This window comes from Homo sapiens, chromosome X (genome assembly GCF_000001405.40).
Source record: "Homo sapiens chromosome X, GRCh38.p14 Primary Assembly".
Taxonomy (NCBI): Eukaryota; Metazoa; Chordata; class Mammalia; order Primates; family Hominidae; genus Homo; species Homo sapiens.
Window position 1 is genome coordinate 25,059,480 of NC_000023.11, and position 21,537 is coordinate 25,081,016.

Here is a 21,537-nt window from a genome sequence, read left to right on the forward strand (position 1 = left end):
TACTATTAATGTCTTAGTAAATCCATTTCCATCTGTCACACTATAATGTATCCTCTCTGTGTCGCCCTCAACATACAAATATTCATTTTCTCTCTTCAAATTAGAGACTTTTAGTACGGGTCAAATACCATTACAGTGAACTCTGCAGGTGTGTCAAATACTTCCTGTATCATTTGGCGTACGATAGAAATTGCCTTCCCAGCTCTCACACCCTGTTGCTCCAGCTGAGGGGCTGGGGATGAAACAGCGTGGATTCACAACCCTCTTAGGCAGCCAGAATTTCTGTCATCAGCAGCAGGGTTTCTCTGCTAAACTTTTCCAATTCCAGCTGCTTGACCGTCAGGGCCACTGACCTTAAATAAAGCACTCAAGAGCCTTAGGTAGGGATTTAGCAGGGGAGGAGTAAGCTGGATTTGTTAGGAAGTGCTATGAATGTTCTATTTGAAAGAGACCTAGATCTCCAATATGGGGAGAAAACCAAGGACTCTGGGCCCACTGTACCTGGGTCTGAATCCCAGCTCTACCACTGCCTTGGCATGTGGTATGTCAGCACGGGCATGGGACTTAAACCACTCAGTGCCTGAGTTTCCTCATCTGCAAAGTGGAGATTAAAGTGGCACTAGAATCATAGGTCTATTGTGAGGATTGAATGAGCTGACATATGGAATGCATTTGAAACCGTGCCTGGCACTCAATAAGTACTTTATAAGTGTTTATTATATTTTTATTATTTGTTCCTTGAGGGAGAAATTGAACACAGAGGCTGAGATTATAAGGGAAAAAGCAGGGAGGAGACAGGGTGTGAAGGTCTCAGATAAGTGGACAGCTTTAGAATAGGCTTGTATTCCAGGAGAGAGATAGGGCACAAAGCAAGAAATTGAGATAGAAGTACTGTTGTATGAGTGACTACTTGGAAGGATTAGGGAAGAACTGAAATGTCGAGAGCTGTGTATTCCCAGTTATAACTGTAGTCACTCTGGGTCCTGGGCTGATAGCAGCATAACTAATTCCAGACCTCACCTGCTGAGGTTCCAGCCAAGATTGGCTGAGTTACTCAAAATGAAGGGCATCAGTGGGCTGACCTGGACAATGTATGACAGAATATAAATCAGTCTGCTCCTTTTCTTTCTCCTCTTCTTTCTTTTTTTATTATTTTTATTATTATTTTTAGAGACAGGGTCTCGCTGTGTTGCCCAGGCTGGAGTGCAGTGGCTATTCACAGGTACAGTCCCAATACTGATCAGCCTGGGAGTTTTGACCTGCTCCATTTCCAACCTGGGCTGGTTCATAGGCAACTTGGTGGTCCCCCACTCCTGGGAGGTCACTATATTGATGCTGAACTTAGTGCAAACACCTGATAGACACAGTGCATTACAACCCAGAACTCTTGGACTCAAATGATCCTCCTGCCTTAGCCTCCTGAGTAGCTGGCACTACAGGCACATGCCACCATGCCCAGCTCCTTTTCCTTTTTTTAATGGATAATTTCAAGCATATCTCAAAGTAGAACGACCAACATAATACATTTTCATGAATCCATCACTTATCTTCAACAGTTATCAACTCTTGCTTTATTCTTATCCTCATTCACTTTCCCATCCTGAATATTTTGAAACAAATCCCAGACATCACTACATCTGCATCTCTAAAAGAAGAGGACTTTTTAAAAATGATGGCTATATTTACAAATTAAAATTTACCATTTTAACCATTTTTAGGTGTACATTTCAGGGCATTAAGTACGGTCACATTGTTGTGCTACCATCACCACCATTAGTTTCCAGAAGTTTTTCATTATCCCCAACAACTGTGGACCTGTTAAGCGACACGCTTCAGTCCCACTCCCATCAGCCCTTGGCACCTACCATTCTACTTTCTGTCTCTATGGATTTGACTACTCTAGGTACCTTATAAATAGAATCATACAATATTTGTCATTTTTGCATTTGGCTTATTCCACTTAGCATAATTTTTTTTAGATGGATTTTTTTAGTATTACAGATATTTTTAATTTTTATTTTGTACATTTTGGTTTTGTTTTCTAAAATTATTACAGTGAATGCAAATTATTTTTCTTATGACAGGAAAACACTGTACAGCAAAAATGGTTGTGGGACCTGGGGAGTTCTATTTTGCTGGAGGTGTTTGAGCAGAGCGTGTAGTTGCTGTTGTTAACTCCCAAGATGTTGAAAAGGAGACTGTTATAGACAGAAAGGTGGCTATTACCTCTTTTAACCTCTATGGTGCTTCAGATTCTGAGAATCTATTGCACAAAATAGTAATTATAACTAATAATTATAACCACTATAACTATTAACATATAACCTGTAGTTATTAATAGTTATGATTAATAAAGTCATAGAATCTCAGATTTGTCAGGGAACTCAGAAGTCAACTTTCCCAGCCAATGTAAGACAGTATGAAAAATCCTTGGCCACACATGCCGATAGAGGATTGCCCAATTAACTCAAAAAAAAAAAAAAAAGGTATACAAGTGACTGAAATCAATGAATAAACTCAATATAATTAAAAAAAAAGAGAAAAAGAAAAAGTCCTTATGCGCTTTGAAAAAAAAGATGAGATTTCAAGTCAAGGAAAATAGATTGTACACCTAGTGACAAGACCTCTTTATCTTCATTTTGAAAGATCACAGAGTGGCTACAATACGAAAAGATTGTGTGTAGGCTATCATTTCATGCTTGAGAAACAAATAGATGGATTCTTGCTCTGTCACCCAGGCTGGAGAGTAGTGGTGCAATCTTGGCTCACTGCAACCTCTGCCTCCCCAGTTCAAATGATTCTCCTGTCTCAGCCTCCTGAGTAGCTGGGATTACAGGCGTGTGCCTACCACTTCTGGCTAATTTCTGTATTTTTAGTAGAGACAGGGTTTCACCATGTTGGCCAGGCTGGTCTAAAACTCCTGACCTCAGGTGATCTGCCAGCCTTGGCCTCCCAAAGTGCTGGGATTACAGGCGTGAGCTACCGTGCCCGGCCGCATAATGTTTTTAAGGTTCCTCCATGTTGTAGCATGTACCAGAATTTCACCCCTTTGTAAGGCTGAATAATAATATTCCATTGTATGTATGTACCACAGAATTCTTTTTAGAGCATAACCACAATACCATAATCATACCTACAAAACAGTAACTTCTTTTTCTTTTTCTTTTTTTTTTTTGAGATAGAGTCTCACTCTATCACCCAGGCTAGAGTGCAATGGCTCAATCTCAGCTCACTGCAACCTCCACCTTCTGGGTTCAAGTGATTCTTCTGCCTCAGTCTCCCGAGTAGCTGGGCTTACATGCTTGGCTAAGGTTTGTATTTTCAGTAGAGACAGGGTTTTGCTATGTTGCCCAGGCTGGTCTCGAACTCCTGACCTCAAGTGATCCACCCACCTTGGCCTACCAAAGTGCTGGGATTACAAGCATGAGCCACTGTGCCCGGCCAACAGTAATTTCTTAAAATAAGCTCATACCCAGTCAATATTTAAATTTCCCCATTTGTGGCCGGGCGTGGTGGCTCATGCCTGTAATCCCAGCACTTTGGGAGGCTGAGGTGGGCAGATCAGTTGAGGTCAGGAGTTCGAGACCAGCCTGGCTAACATGATGAAACCACGTCTCTACTAAAAATACAAAAATTAGCCGGGTGTGGTGGCGGGCGCCTATAATCCCAGCTACTCAGGAGGCTGAGGCAGGAGAATCGCTTGAACCTGGGAAGCAGAGGTTGCAGTGAGCAGAGATTGCACCACGGCACTCCAGCCTGGGTGACAGAGTAAGACTCTGTCTCAAAAAAAAAAAAAAAAAAAAAAATTTCCCCAATTGTGCCATAAACATAGTTTTTAACAGTCTGGTTGTTTGAAATAGGATTCAAATAAGACCTATTCGAATGTAAATTAGTCCAGCCACTCCAGAAAGCAGTCTGGAGATTTCTCACAGAACTTAAAACAGAGCTACTATTCAACCTAGCAGTCCCATTACTAGGTATATACACAAAGGAAAGTAAATCATTCTACCAAAAAGACACATGCACTTGTATGTTCATTGCTGCACGATTCACAATAGCTAAGACATGGAATCAACCCATGTGCCCATCAATGGTAGATTGGATAAAGAAAATGTGGTACATGTACACCATGGAATACTATGCAGCCATTTACAAAAATGAAATCATATCATTTGCAGCAACAAGGATGGAGCTGGAGGCCATTATCCTAAGTGAATTAACACAGGAACAGAAAGCCATATACCACATGTTCTCACTTATAAGTGGGAGCTAAACATTGAGCACACATGGACATAAACGTGGGAACAATAGACACTGCAGACTACTAGAGGGTGGCATGGGTTGAAAAACTATCTATTGGGTACTACACTCACTACTTGGGTGATGGGATCCATACCTCAAACCTCAGCATCACGCAGTATTCCCATGTAACAAATCTGCACATGCACACCCTGTATCTAAAATAAAAGTTGAAATTAAAAAAAAATGGCCCATTCATTGCAATTTGTCAATATCTCTTTTCTCTTTTAATCTACAAGTCCTTTAAGTTTTTCAAAATTTCCTATTTATTTGTCGAAGAATCTGGGTTGCTTGACCTGTAGAATTTTCCAGGGTCTAGATTTTGCCAGTTGGATCCCTACGTTGAGATTTAACATCTTATTTTGTTTCCTGTATTTTCCATAAATTGATAAATTGGTAGTTAAACACAGAGACTTGCTCAGATTCAGGTTTGATTCTTTGGCAAGAATATTTCATAAGGAGTGTTGTATACGGGAGACACATAGTATCCAGTGGTTTCTCTTTCTGTGATGTTAACAGCAATTAATGATCATTGTTTAGGTACATTAATTCATTAGAGGTTATTCTAATTCTGTCATTCCTTCTTTGATTGTTAGCTGGAATACTTCTATGAACAGAAACTTTCCCTTATTTATTATTTGGTTACTGTGAGGCAGCCTTTGTTAAAAGAAGGCAAGATAAATGCTTGTTTCTTTCCTTTTATTTACCAGTTTTTATACAAGTGAATTGCTTCCTTTGCATCCACAAAGGTGATTAACAAGAGTTTAATTTTGGAGTTTTTTTTAAGTGATTTTATGAACTCATGGATTTTTCAAATATTTGATGCATTTAAATTAATTTCCATTGTTATTATTATTGATATTCCAATTATCCCCTATTTGGTTAATGGACTCTTCAAGTTGGCGCCCTAGTTCTTTTGATACAGCACCAGGATTATTATAGTTTCTTTGCTTTCTGGCATAACAGGGTGATCCAGGCTCATCTTACACATTTTTCTTGTCCTTGCTATTTCTCCAAAAAGTCCTGGTTCCTTTTAGTGGGAATTAGTATTTAGTAATCACAATCTGGGTCATGGGGTGCTCATTACTATTAGGCTAGCTCTTCTTATTTAATAATACATTCTTCTTTCTAGTTATAAAGATAATACATATTCACTCTATAACATTTGGAAGATACCAAAAATAATAGAGACTATCACTGTTTATATTTTGGTGTACCACATATGCCCATATATGAGTGAGGTTTTCTCCTGAAATTATCCCTCAGAAAAGAAGGCATCACTTTATATGTGAGTTCTTATAAAACCTCTTTCATTATGGGATGACCTCTATTTGGGCAAGACATATTAGTTTGAAATGATCTTAACTCCTGAGAGTTTTGGATGTTTATAGAAGTCACCTTGGAGCTCCAGTGGCACAATCGGTTAGTGCGTGGTGCTTCTACAGAAGTCACCTGATAAAATTTGTAGAATGGAGGCAAAAAAATTTAGCACGGATTCAGTAATTAGGCCTGGGTATATGACCTCACATTGCCAAATACTGAATGATGTTATAAATGAACCCTTTAAAAATAATCTTTTTTTCTAGGGCAGAAAGCATTAAGTATACATGTACATGATGAATGAAAAATCCAATATTCTCATGTTATGGAGATGGACACTTTTAGTTGGGATAAAATTTCTAGTGACAGCATCATACACAGGTTCAAATAATTATGTATCTCAGACAGAATGGATTTGATGGAGATGCAGACTCTAGAGAACTGTGGGCTTCAAACTTATTTACTTGTCAAGCCACTGAGAGAATTTTGAAAAGCAATATACTTTCTCATACTTTAAATTGGTATTTAAAGTTTTAATCACAAGGTTAAGTGGTTACAGAGGATGCAATTCTAGCATATTGTAAATATTGACATTTCAGAATAAAACTGCTTCAAATGCTTGCCACTCTTGGGAAAAAAATAGAATAAAACTGCTATGTCAGTCTTTAAATTTGTTTAAGGAAATCTAAATTCTATAATGATTCAATAAACCCATCTTCCCCTAAAAAAGCTCACAAATTATTTTAAAAATTTATGTTGTTATAATTTTCTATGTAATAATAATTACATTTCATTTTCCTCACAGAATTTTATCCTAACACAGGGAAGTCTCTCTATCATATTTCTTGGCAACAAATTGTACGTGTGCATGTGTGTGTATTTGAAATGTGAAAAAATTTTCCCCGTGATCATAAGGCATGTTACCAAATTGATCCCAGATAGAGTTACACAGTGGATCAAATTATACAATTGATCAAATTACAAATATTTGACAAATTTTGGTAAATGTTTATCAAACTTAAAAAATTATATTGGAAAAGAATCTCTCAATGAGATAGATGAGACCTTTTCTCCTTAATTGATGTATTAAAAGTAAATATTATTCATTGCCAGAATGAGACTGCATTTGGCATCAGTTATATTACTAGTTTCCTTCCTTCCTTCCTTCCTTCCTTCCTTCCTTCCTTCCTTCCTTCCTTCCTCTCCCTCCCTCCCTCCCTCTCTCTCTCTCTCTTCTTTTTAAGAGACAGAGTCCTGCTCTGTCACCTAGGCTGCTCACTGCAGTGTTGATCGCTGAGGCTCAAGCAATCCTTCCACCCCAGCCTCCTGAGTAGCTGGGACTACAGGTGTGCACCAGCACGCCCAGCTAATTTCTTTTTTTGTGGAAGCGGGGTCTTGCTATGTTGCCTAGACTGGTCTTGAACTCCTGGCCTCAAGCCATCCTCCTGCCTTAGCCTTCCAAAGTGCCACCACACCCGGCCACTTATTTTCATTTTCTGTAAATGGAAGTTCTGAGAAAACTTGTTTATATAAACAGAAAGTTGGAAATGGAAAGAGTTTTGTTTATAGCTATGTCACTTAAGTCTTTGAATTTTCTCCCAGTTAGATGCCAAAAATCACATGATAATCTATCATCAGAAATTATTTTTAATCGTCTGTTAGCTGACAACTCAATTTGGTCTTCCTTCAATTTTGTTGAAAGCAAAGACTTAGAAACCACCTTAAGTGCAAAAAAATTTGTTATGTAGTCATTAAGGTCTTTCACCTTCTCGACACTGATGCCGGTACCGTATTTGGAATTAACCCTTTGTTTGGCACCCTGGAGGTTTTTACATGCTTGTACAACATCCTATGGTAAAGGTAGAAAGGGGAGACTATGAAAGGGGAGGCAGACATGAGAACCTGCTCCTCTATCATAAATGTACTTTCAGGAGGTCGGTTTTTGGAAAAGAGTCTATAAATTTGAGGATCTGGGGACAGATTCTTTTAAAACTGTCACCAATGTACCACTTGGAAAACCTTTACTGTACTCCCAAGTGTATGCATTAACCCAGCTGGAGATTCTAGAATCTCGCTGTGAAAAGACTCAGAACATGATTCTGGTGATCACAAGCATGTAAGGAATGAGGATAGCATTATTTTATGCAATGTGAATGGGGGAAAAGAGAAATATTTTGAAATTAACATTCAGTTTATATTATATGTGATATTAAATAAGTATGTATAATTAATAATTAAATACTATAAGTAGATATTTGGCTATTTCATCCACATCCATAAGGGTTTAGATTATTATATAAGCTTGACAAAATGATTTTTGAGGGCAAACTTCACATTGATCCATACTTGGGTTGTTTCCACCTTTTGGCTATTGTGAGTACTGCTGCTATGAACACGGGTATACAAATATCTCTTTGAGATCATGCTTTCAGTAGCCGATTTACTTTTGTATTTTGCTTTGGCTGTATAATGTAAAAAATTTTAACTCATACGGATAAATAGTTGCAAATGGTAACAATTTGTAATAGCTCACCATGGAGTGTTATAACTCATCTGAATGTAAACTCATCTATAACACACAAGGCAAATTATGAGACATTTTAGTTCCAAAGTCAATCATTAGCAATACCTAAAAGCTTTTCTGTTTTTTTTAAACCAGTATGTGTACAATTTGGAAAGGATTTCTAGCCAGCTAAAATTTGTATCTTCTGATACAATTTCTGATGCTTTAAAGGAATTTTTGACCTCTCATTGTTCTTTTTTTTTTGTAAGCTATTCTCTCAAATGTTAAAAACAATCAGAGACATTTTGGGTTTTTTTTTTTTTTGAGGACTTCATACTTTGTTTCAGTTTCATTTTTAGCATTTATTTGTAATTTCAAAACTTGATAACAGTGTAACAGTGTAACTCTCTCTCTTGCAACAGTGTAACTCTTGTAACAGTGTAACTCTCTCTATTGCCAAAATGATTGCTTCTAATAGTAAATATCTAGTCAACAAATATTTATGGGACAGCCCATATCAGGTCCACAATTCACAAATAATGAAGAAAACATACGTAATCCTTGGCTTCATGGAACTCACAGTTTACTAGGGTTGATGAATAGTAAATAAGTAAACAGACAACTAAATAATTTTAAACCATGGGTTTTTATAATAGAAAATAACAGTCTACTGTAAGAATAACAGGGATAAATGCTTTAGGTGAGATGGGCAGCGAAGGCCTCTCTGAAGAGGTGACATTTAAGATGAGCCCTCATGGCAAGAAGGAACCTGCAATAATATGGGAAAAGAGCATTCAAACAGTGGGAGTAGCACGGACAGTGATTCTACAGCCTGAAAGAACTTGACGTGTTTGAAAAACTGAAACAAGATCCATGTAGTGGAAGCATATTCAGTATATTCATTTCCTGTCACTGCTGCAAAAACTTACCACAAAGTTAATGGCTAAAAACAACACACATTTACAGTTCGCGGGGGGGTCAGAAGTCTGACCCGAACTTTATGGGGCCAAAGTTGAAGTGTCACCAGGGCTGTGGTCTTTCTGCAGGCTCTAAGGGAGAATGAGTCTCCTTGCCTTTTCCAGCTTCTAGAGGCCACCTGCATTCCTTGGCTCATGGCCCCTTCCTCTATCTTCAGAGTACATCATTCCGACATCTGCTTCAGTCCTCACATCACCTCTCACTCTGACTCTCCTGCCTCCCTCTAAGAACCCTTGTGATTGCGTTGGGCCCACCTGGATAATGCAGGATCATCTCCCCATCTCAAGATCCACAATCACATCTGCAAAGCCTCTCTTGCCATGTAAGGTGACATTTACAAGTTCCAGAGATTAGGACATGGAAATTTTGGGGGCTGTTTTTCTGCCTGCCACCTTCAGGGAGTAGAGAAATGAGAAACAAAGCTGTATAAATGAGTGTACTATGTTCTATTTCAGAGATGTTTTAGTTAGCAGAGTTCGTATTCATTAGAGTTTAATGTAGGCTGCGATAACAAAGAGACCCTACAATATTTTGGCTTAAACAACATAGGAGTTAACTTCTGTTTCATGTAATAATCCTGAGGAAGGCAGTCCAGGGCTGGGAGGATGGCTTTGCTTCATTAGGTCGTTCAGAGGTCCAGGCACATTCTGTCTTGTTGTATTGCCAGCCTCAACATGTGACTTGCTGGTCATGGTCTAGGATGGTTATGAGTTCACACTCTAGTAAGTTGGAAGATGGAAAGGGACAGCAGGATACCACACTCATTCCTTTTACAGGCATGACCCAGGAGAGGCACATAAGATTTCCGCTCACATCCCAATCCCTAGAACTTTGTCACGTGATCACACCTGACTTCAAGAGAGGCCAGGACATGTAATCTTTGGCTAGATGGTTTTTGTTCAAACTAAAACTCAAGTGTTTTCTTCTTCTTCTTCTTCTTCTTCTTCTTCTTCTTCTTCTTCTTCTTCTTCTTCTTCTTCTTCTTCTTCTCCTTCTCCTTCTCCTTCTCCTTCTCCTTCTCCTCCTCCTCCTCCTCCTCCTCCTCCTCCTCCTCCTCCTCCTCCTCCTCCTCCTCCTTCTCCTTCTTCTTCTTCTTCTTCTTCTTCTTCTTCCTCTTCTTCTTCTTCCTCTTCTTCTTTTTCCTCTTCTTCTTCTTGTTTTGAGACAGGGTCTCATTCTGTTTCCCAGGCTGGAGTGTAGTGGCTGGATCATGGCTCACTGCAGCCTCGAGCTCCCAGGCTCAAGTGATCTTCTCACCTCAGCCTCCCAAGTAGCTGGGACTACAGGCACATGCCACCATGACTGGCTAATTTTTTAATTTTTAAATTTTTCTGTAGAGATAAGGTCTTGCTATGTTGGCCAGACTGGTCTTGAAAAGTGTTTCATTATTAAAGGAAGAAGAAGAAAATGGAAATTTGTCTCTGCAACAAATTTCTTTATAAAAGCATATTGATTTCATGTTTTATTTTAAGAATTAGTATTAGCACCTTCCCTTGAGACAGCCATTGGCCTCCAGTATAAAATGGAAATTATGACACTTGCTGCCATATAATTATAAAAAGTTCTGACAAGTTTGCAATTTAAGGAATGCTCCTTAATAAAATTGACAGTTTGCCTGGCGTCATTCAACCTTATTTTGAAAAATGCTGACATCACACTAATGCTTAGAGCTTGTCTAAATAGAATAAGAACTAGTGTAGTTGAAAGCAGTGTGGAGCCAGCATTGATACAAGTTGCTATTTCTCCAATTTATTCAGTAAAATGCTTACCACTTTATTATTGACTTTTGGGTCATAAATTAAAACTTATCAACATACTTAAAGACTGTGTTCCTGTTGAATAAGTGGTAAGTGTTTATATACAAGAGCCTTCCTCATAGTCATCTGGAAGAACATATACATAAAAATAGGCAAAAAGGACAAATACACAAATCCATTCACTTATGCTGATGAATTGCAGACTTGACATAACATATGCTCTTGAACAGATTCATAAGATATGTAGACTCTTGGATCCTATTTCAGCTGTTTCAGATAATAGTACTACTGATATGTTTGCAGCAGTTTGCTTATCTATCATTCATTCAGAAAATATCAGTTGAGCACCTACTATTTATCAAGCACTATTCTAGGTGCTTGGGGTACATCAATGAATAAAAGAGACAAATATCTCTTCCCTTCATGGAATTTACATTTGTGTTGCAATACCCATAGATCACGGTTTACTAAGCACTTAAACATGCAACATTTTTATTGAAATGTGCTCTATATACAGAAAAGCACACAAATTATAATCGAAAAGATGGATGAATTTTCCTAAAATGAACAAACCAGCGTAACCAGAACCCCAGATGCCCTTTGTATTGCCTCGGTCACTACCCTCTGGGAGTGACCACTATCCCGATTTCTAACACCACAGATTAGCTTTGCCTGCTTTTCAACTTTATATAAATGGAATCATACAGTACATGCTCTTCTGTAGCTGGATTCTTTTTCTCAACATTTTGTTCGTGGGATTCGTCAGGTGGTTTTGCATAGTTGTAGTTAGTTTATTCTCTTTACTATACAGTATTCCGTTGTGTGAGTATGCTACACTCTTCTTACCCATTCTCCTGTTGATGGATATTTGGTTGTCTTACATTTTGGGGTATTATGAATAGTGTTAAACATTCTTGTACATGCCTTTCAGTGGATATTTGCATGCATTTCATTTGGGTATGAAACTAGGCATGGAATTGCAGCCTCATAGGGAATGCTTATGTTCTACTTTAATAGATATTGACAGTTTTCCAAAGTGTTTGAACCAATTTACTCTTCCTCCAGCAATGTAGAAAAAGTTTTAGTTGCCCACATCCTTGTCAGCACTTGGTATTGTCTGTCTTTCTGATTTTAGCTATTTTATAGATTTGTGGTAATATGGCATTATAGTTTTAATTTGCATTTCCTTGATGGCTAAGTGGGGCTCTTTCCCTGCATTTATTATACTCGTTTGGATATCCACTTTTTTGAAGTGTCTGATCAAGTCTTTTGCCCATTTTTCTATTGAATTGTCTACTTTTTTCTAATATGCTTTTCTATATGTGCATTTTGGCATCTTGCATTGAAAGATCCTATGTGTACTTATATAATCAGGTTTAAATTTTGTTTGCATAATTTTTCCAATAACATTAAGCTGTTTAATTTATGCTGAAAGAACTTAGAGCCTTATTTTTATGCTCACTGTGAGTTGTTTCAAAATGATGCTGTAACTTGGCAAGGACTGCAGAACTATTTTGAAAAATTTCACTGCTTCAACTATGCTGATGACTTGTGCACTGTTTTAACATGATAAAAGCTTAGTGCTATAACAAATTCAGCCACCATTTTATTCTGCCTTTAAATGACATCGTGAGAGCATTTTAGGTACATTATTTTCATTTTATGTACTGCCAGTTGCTAGAGAAAGATTCATTTGATTCCAATATGCTATTTTTTGTTGTTCATCTCCAACCCAATCAATCTTATCACTCCCATCACTGGGTTTTTGTTTAAAAATGTCCTCTTTTTAATCTGTAATCCATTTCTGGCTTTACAGGTAATAATTGCAAACCATCTGAAAAAATTGTAAATAATAATAGCCCACAGAAACTGCCTTGTACAAGGCACAGTTCTGTACTTTCTGTACTTTAACTCATTTAAACCATATGAGGTAGGTGCTATTATCAGCTTCATTTTACAGGTGATGAAATAGAGGCTTGGGAGAAGTAACTTGGCAAAGTTGCTGTTAATTGGGAAACTCAGAATTCAAACCCTCATGCCTAAGCTTTACTTCCCCCAGCCCCTTTATCTGGGTCTGTCAGCTTGACATGGCAGATTTCCCACTATCAGCATGATCATTGGCACACTTCACTCTTTCTTCTTACTTCCTCCACAGAGCACATTCAGCATATTTATACACTTCTGCCTCTTCCTTACATGGGTCAGAGCCTGGTCCTCTTTTTTTTTTTTTTCTTGTCTGACATTTGGATTTGGGGCAGAGAGAGAGAGGCCCTTTTTGGATCTTGAGCCTCAGCAATACTCTCTATCCTCGATTTGAGAGCTCTGTCTCAGTATTTTGGGCATAAACTCAGCTAATGACAAAGCTGTACTGTGACTTCCCATTTGCTGCTGTCCCTAATGTAAATCTCAATGGGATAGCAGAAATGTTTTGGTCCCTACAAATGATGCCGGGGGTTATTAAATATGATTTTCATTTAGAAAGTAGAGCCCCTGGGTGGCTCTTATGTTTGTTTTGGGAAACAAATTGGCCCTTCTCTAGTGTTCTGAATATTAAAATAGAATTGGGTGTGGAGTTCTGTCTTGGACCTCATCCAAATGATTCTAATTATCAAGGCATGCTGACGACCAGGTATAAAAGTAGTTTTGCCTACAAAATAGTCTTATGGTCTAGATCCCAAGTATAATATAGGAATAAAGCTTTGGTTGTTTATTTGTATCTTCTCGTAACTGTGACTTTTTAAAAAAATGGACACTTCTTTCTTCTGCTATGATCAAGTGCCTAAAATTATAAAATATCTATGTCTTCAAAGAGGGAGAGAGTAAAACGGAAACTCGGTAGAAAAAAAAATAACTTTTTCCCCTCTTTTATCTTTAACTTCCATAAGTTGGGGGAGGTATCTTAGTCAGGGTTCTCTAAAGGGACAGAACTAATAGGATAGATGTATATATGAAGTGGAGTTTATTAGGAGAATTGACTCACACGATCACAAGGTGAAGTCCCACAACAGGCCATCTGCTAGTTGAGGTGCCAGGAAGCCAGTCCGAGTCCCAAAACCTCAAAAGTAGGGAAGCTGACAGCACAGCCTTCAGCCTGTGGCCAAGGGCTTGAGAGCCCCTGGCAAATCACTGATGTAAGTCCAAGAGTCCCAAAGCTGAAGAACTTGGAGTCCGATGTTCAAGGGCAGGAAGCATCTAGCACAGGAGAAAGATGAAGGCCAGAAGACTCAGCCAGTCTAGTCCCTCCATGTTCCTCTGCCTGCTTTATTCTAGCCACACTGGCAGCCGAATAGATGGTGCCCACTCAGACTGAGGGTGGGTCTGACTCTCCCAGCCCACTGATTCAAATGTTAATCTCCTCTAGCAAGACCCTCACAGACACACCCAGGAATAATACTTTGCATCCTTCAATCTGCTCAAGTTGACACTCACTATTAACTATCATAGGAGGCTTTGGCTTTTTTTTTTTTTTTTTTTTTTTTCAGTGGTGGCATTAATGGCTCTGGAACACCACAAGTGTGAGTTTGTCTAAACTGTATTTAGTGGAAATTATTAAGTGGAGGCCTGAGAGTCAGGCTCACTGTCTGGAATTTGCTCTCTAACCTGCTGTGGTTTGCTAGCATTTTATCAGCTGATTAGTCCCTCAGGATTCACTCTGTGAGGCCACATTTTTTCTTAATTTTTTGAGACGGAGTCTCGCTCTGTCACCCAGGCTGGAGTGCAGTGGTGCGATCTCGGCTCACTGCAAGCTCCGCCTCCCGGGTTCACGCCATTCTTCTGCCTCAGTCTCCCGAGTAGCTGGGACTACAGGCGCCCGCCACCCCGCCCGGCTAATTTTTTGTATTTTTTAGTAGAGACGGGGTTTCACCGTGTTAGCCAGGATGGTCTCAATCTCCTGACCTAGTGATCCGCCCGCCTCGCCGTCCCAAAATGCTGGGATTATAGGCGTGAGCCACTGTGTCTGGCCAAAGCCACATTTTTTATCTGTCTGGCAGAGTCCACTGTGCTTGGGTAACAATTAGAGCCCAAAGCAAGTGGCATAAATTATGAGAACTGAAATCCTAACAATGAAAGACAAGGAGTTTATCAAGAACGTTTTGTTGCCTCTGGATCTTGGATCTTTTTCACTCCTTCTATGAGTCATTCCAGTTCTACTCACTGTTTAGCTTTCTTGAACGGTAGGAATGTGCTCAAGAGAATAGCAATAATTTATCCCCCACCCCTTAAGATACCTTTTTCTTTTCATCTACTGTGTTCTAATTTTGTCATCTTTGCTAATGGATCTTGGGTGGGGGAATACTTTATGACTTGTTTGGCAATCAATCCAGAAGTTTCCACCAAGTATAGTGAAAGAGAAAAATCAATTTCCTTAAGACACGTGGTACAAATTATTTGATGCCAGCCTGAGTAATTTTACAAAATGACCTCCCTTGCTTTACAGCTTGCTTTTTTTTTTCACAAGTATTTATTAATTTATCCAAAATGAGAAAATTTAAGAGAGTATTCATATGCTTGGCAGGCCTATTTTCAATATCGCACAATAAATTACTGTGACGTGAACATGCCTGGGTCTCACTTCAGATACTGGTGGACTTGCATGAACAGTAAACATCCAGATTTCCTAGCTCATGAGAGACTCCCAGCCTTCATAATGTCCCTTTCTCCCCCAAAGGATTTCTGTTAGTCATTAGAGGGAGGCTTGCAAGTGCTCATGAACCACTGTGCAGGGTCAGCCATCCTGTTTCTCTCACTCTCCAAGTCCTCCTAGTTGATGGCTTTTGTTCATCATGCTGCTTGACGGTGCCTCTGGTTGCCACTGCGTTGCCTCTGGTGCTTTTTGTGAGAACACCAAAAGGGCTGTTTTGATGCTCACAGAGGCACTCATCCTCGGAGCCATGGTAAGGCTTTACAGAGTACAGAGACCACCCGTTCCCCAGCTCTGGGTTGTGCCTTGTCACCAGAGAGACCTAAGAATTGCTTTTGTTACCCCCAAGTCATAACTCATAGGATCTTTAATGAAAATGGTCCTTTCAGTTTTGGCCTGCACTTCTCTTATTTGGAACTCAAGCTCTGTTGCTGAGGCCCATTGGATAACTAGTACCAAGATGTTCTCCATTTTCCCTTCACCTCTCATTCCTGCCTCTATCTGGGCTCAATCCCCTCTCACTTTATTAAAAAAGCATATTAACATGCACATAAATAAACTCTTTTGTTTCAGGGGCTGTGCTGGTGTCTCAAGACTCATGGTCTCAGACTGATCAGGGCGCATGCTCTGGTTAAGTAGCCTAGATCGGAGTTCTTCCAAGTCAGCACATCAAAACCTTCATACTTTGGTTTTTTTTTTTTTTTGAGATGGAGTCTCGCTCTGTCGCCCAGGCTGGAGTGCAGTGGCACGATCTCTGCTCACTGCAAGCTCTGCCTCCTGGGTTCACGCCATTCTCCTGCCTCAGCCTCCCGAATAGCTGGGACTACAGGTGCCCGCCACCACACCCAGCTAATTTTTTGTATTTTTAGTAGAAACGGGGTTTCACCGGGTTAGCCAGGATGGTCTCGATCTCCTGACCTCGTGATCCACCTGCCTCGGCCTCCCAAAGTGCTGAGATTACAGGCGTGAGCCACTGCGCCCGGCCAGAACCTTCATACTTTGAGAAGCTGGTGAGCACTGGGATGAGCCCCGATAATTTCTGTTATATCCCCTGTGAGCAGCCCACTTGGCTGCTCTGCCTGCCACTGCCATTCTCTTCCTGATTATCCTTGCTTTGTTTCCTCTCTCACTTTGTTTGGATGAAATGTAACTTTGGTGAAATGCATTAGTGTTCAATCTGTTCTGTTTTGCTTCAGTGAAAGTTAGTGTTTCACTTCACCCTGTCCTTTGATCAGTGCATTTTAGAAGGAAGCAGATCACATTGGTGATATTTTGAATGTGGCTATCACAATGTAGGTGATGCTGCCTTTTTCTTATTGCTCACAGTGCAGGGCAGGTGGGACTGCAGTGGTTCTCATATCTGGCTATACATTAGAATCACCTGGGGAGCTTGAGACACCTACTAATGCCCAGGTCTGACCCCTCCAGAGACTCATTTAATTGGTCTGGAGCCCAGTAAGGACCATGTGTCAGATGAAGTTTTGATGCTGAAGAGACAGAGCATCTGACCTTTGATCCCAGGGACCACCCAATCTGTCAGAAATCACCATATACATCTTTGGTTTAGCATTATCCCTTAATGTCTTTTACCAAAAAAATAAAATAAAATTCTGGGAACAACAAAATAGCTGGTCCAGAATGAAACTTCCAGCATCCAATTTAGCACACTGAAAACAGCCCATTTCATGAACACAAAAGTTTTTCAGATTTCATTCCCATTATCATACCTCTCCAGTTTTCTTTTCTTTTCTGTGGAGGAGAATATTCTCTGGTAACTCAGAAGAAAGGAATGAAGATGAGGTTGGGAACATCCATATCCAGGAGAATATGACGTTTTTCTGGGATTTGTGTAAGTTTAAATTAAGAACACACCTGCACAAATGTCAGAAATAGGCCCCCATCCAATGCTATTTAAATAGGTCATTATTACAGTTGAATGCTGTGATGGTTTCCACACAAGAAAGCAGTAGGGATCTGAATAGGGAAAGGTGAGGATGGTGTGAGCAAGGCTGCCTCCAGAATCCTGCGGGTTCTGAACATTTTCCTGGAGCACGAGATCAACATGCATGTAGAACGGGGATTGGAGAATTCAGCATTGCAGCAGCTCCGTGGGTCTTCTTGATAAGTACATGCACATGTTGACATGGCAATAGAAAGCATCACTGCACTAACTCAGATTGTGAGATAATTATGACTTATTCATAGCACTGCAGGCCGATTACAATAATGATTACATTTCTATTACAGTTTCCTCCCATCCTCCTTCCTGTCCCCAGGAAGCCTAAAGAATTTTACTCATTTATTTTCACCACGCGCCCATAGTTTAGTTGCATTCGCCTCTTTAAACCACAAAGACATGAACCGAAGGAAAAAGAAAGTTACTGAAGTTCCTGAAATAAGACAGAATTAAAACAGACCTAAACATCATTTGCATTTGTCTGCTTAGATTTTATTAAGTCATGAGAGAGCCATAAGTACTCAGTGTAGGTTCTTGTAAGCTGGTCTTAGTAGCTAGAGCAACAGAGAAAGGCTGGAAGAATGATGTGGGTCATAGAGGAAAGACCATGTGTTATTAGACTTCTCTTTGAAGGTACTGGAGTGGTGAGAAGAGGTAGCACTGGGGAGCATATTAATTCCTTCTCTTGGAAACTGCAAACAAATAGGGGAATATAGCTACTTTGCAGAGTGGCTCAGCAGTATTTACTAAAGCTGAACATATACCTGCCCTGTGATCTAGAAATTCCACTTCTGTGTCCACCCAAGAGAAATGAGTGCACATATCCACCAAAAGAAATGCATTACAATAATATTTATAGTGGTCTTATTCATAATAGTCCCACACTGGAAACAACCTAAATGGCCATGAATAGGAGAATGGATAAAAAATTTATAATAGATACATACAATGAAATACTACTCAGTCAAAACCAAAGAGCATAAACCAACAAACTAACCTCTTACAGACTATATGATTCATTGATACAAGTTCAAGAAGAGGCAAAACTAATATATGATGATAGAAGTCAGAATAGTGATTATCTTTAAGGGTGAGTATTGACTGAGAGAGGGGGCGTGAGAGAACCTTCTGGGTGCTAGAAGTAGCCTGTATCTTGGTTTGCTGGTGTCAACCCTGGTGTGTACATATGTCAAAATGTATTGAGCTGCACACTTGATATTAGAGTACATTCTATACTGTATGTATGGTGTACCTCAATTAAAACAAATAAAACAAAAACAAGAATTATAGATAGGGAGACGCATTGATGTCAGAGTGTCACAATAAAAAACAGTCAAGAATTATATAAAGTAAGAAAAAGTTGACTGGGCATGGTAGCTCACGCCTATAATCCCAGCACTTTGGGAGGCTGAGGTAGGTGGATCATTTGTGGTCAGGAGTTCGAGACCAGCCTGGCCAACATGGTGAAACCCTGTCTCCACTAAAAATACAAAAATTAGCTGGGTGTGGTGGCAGGTGCCCGTAATCCCAGCTACTTGGGAGGCTGAGACAGGAGAATCGCTTGAGCCTGGGAAGTGGAGGTTGCAGTGAGCTGAGATCGCACCATTGCACTCTAGTCCGGGCGACAGAGCAAGACTCCATCTCAAAAAAAAAAAAAAAGAAAAAAAGAAAAGAAAAAAAGAAAAATTAAAAGTTGATTATATTATTTATACTACAGTAATTTTATTTCAATTTCTAGGAATTGTTTTCATGTGTTAATAAATTACTAGCCCTCAAAATGGTCTTCTGGTAGGCAATTAGCAAAATATATCTATGCTCTTCCTTATCCCTCTACCAATAAGATAGTCATTTGCTTTTGTATTTATTATAAAGATATTTGTGGCAGACTGTTCTGGTTGACTACCTAGGAGCCATTCCCAACCTTTTATCCCTTGCAGATTTTTTACTATAGATGTTGGAAAAATCAGAGTCACTTTCTCAGCCTCTCTTTCATGTCTCGTACCTAGATCCCATCTCTTTTTTTTTTTTTTTTTTGTGGCAGGTTTTTTTTTTTGTTTTAAATTATACTTTAAGTTTTAGGGTCTCTTGATGGGAGGTAGTCAAAGAATTTTTAGATATGTTTTACAACTGCCACGGCATCTACAAGTGATACAAATTATTATGCATTTTCAGCTTTCAATCACTTAATTTTAACTAGGAGAAATGGGAAGTCAAGTACAACTTCCTTGGGTTCCATCATGCCCCTATTTTAATTTTGGCCTGTAGGTGGTCTTATGAGCCAATAAACACAGTTAGGCGAGAGCTGTTGGTAAGGCAAACCAACTGTGTCTGCCAGAGATTTCTCTTCTTTTGTTGGTCCAGGCAATAATGGGCCAAACAAAAAGCTCCTTACAAAAAGGGATAACTCATAATTAGTAGAACAACCCCCACCCGACATTTCTTTTCTTTTTTTTTTTTTTTTTTTGAGATGGAGTCTTGCACTGTCACCCAGGCTGGAGTGCAGTGGCACCATCTCCACTCACTGCAACCTCTGCCTCCCGGGTTCAAGCGATTCTCCTGCCTCAGCCTCCTGAGTAGCTGGGATTACAGGCGCCATCACGCCCGGCTAATTTTTTGTATTTTTAGTAGAGATGGAGTTTCACTATGTTGGCCAGGCTGGTCTTGAACTCCTCACCTCGTGATCCACCTGCCTTGGCCTCCCAAAGTGCTGGAATTACAGGCGTGAGCCGCAGTGCCTGGCCCACATTTCTTTATGGAGAATTAATGTACTCTTGCATTTGAATAGCCTTAGAATTTGCCTAATTTGAGGATGGATAAAGTATAAATAGCTTGGTTCTCTGGGATAATTGGATCATGCCTATTGGGCTATATATATATGTATATATATATATATACATATATATACATATACATATATATGTGTGTGTGTATATATATATATGTGTGTGTGTATATATATATATATATTTTGTGTGTGTGTGTGTGTTTGTGTGTGACAGAATCTCATTCTGTTGCCCAGGCTGGAGTGCAATGGTGTGATCTTGGCTCATTGCAACTTCCGCCTCCTGGGTTCAAGCGATTCCCCTGCCTCAGTCTCCTGAGTAGCTGGGATTAGAGGCACCCGCCACCACGCCTGTCTAATTTTTGTATTTTTGTAGAGATGGGTTTTCACCGTGTTGGCCAGGCTGGTCTCGAATTCCTGACCTTGTGATCTGCTCGCCTTGGCCTCCCAAAATGCTGGGATTACAGGCGTGAGCCACTGCACCCGGCCCCATTGGGCTATGAAAAAAGAAAGGTTCCCACATTCCTTCTCTTACTTTCTTGGAGGTAAAATAAGCCAGGGTAGGGTTCATAGCTCTTACCACTTTGTGTAAGAAGAAGGCATTGAACACAAAATCTGCTTATAAGCAGAATGAGAAGGAAGCATTCATTGGACCACCTAACAAGATAGAAGAATTTAGGGTGAGTAAAGGTTTTCCTGAAATTAGAAAGGAAAACTGAAGTTCATTACTTAAGTCTGGAAAGGTAACACATCCATAATTAGATGTTCATATTTCACTTGAAGTTGTACAGTACAGCATCTCTCCTTATACCTAGTAATTATATAGAATTTAAATATTTATGCCATTTACTTTTTTCAGATTTTTTGTGTTGTTCCAGCATTTATATACAGAAAAATTGAAAAATTGTCCTATGAACATCGACATAGCCATCACCTAGATTCTACAATGAACATTTCAGCATATTTATTTTATCACACATCTGTCCATCTATTGATCCTGCTACTCATTCATCAATTCAGCTTATTTTTTGCTACATTTTAAAGTAAGTTGCAAACATCAATACACTTTCCCTATGAACACTTCAGCCATCTATTTTTTATTTTTATAGAAATGTCAGTTTGGGAAGATTTAGGTGCTATTTCTTCTTCTTGCAATTATTTATGTATTTTATATTGAACCGTTACCATAGAAGTTATGATGATAATGAATATGTATTGAACACTTCCTAGATGCTGGGTACATAATTCTTTGCAATAATCTCCTGAAGTAGGTAGTATTATTATTCCCGTTTAATAGCT

The 21,537-nt window shown here is 39.4% G+C and overlaps 1 pseudogene; it reads right to left on the reverse strand.

Annotated features, from left to right (window-relative positions):
- RN7SL91P (RNA, 7SL, cytoplasmic 91, pseudogene) lies at window positions 1,170-1,460 on the reverse strand (annotated as a pseudogene).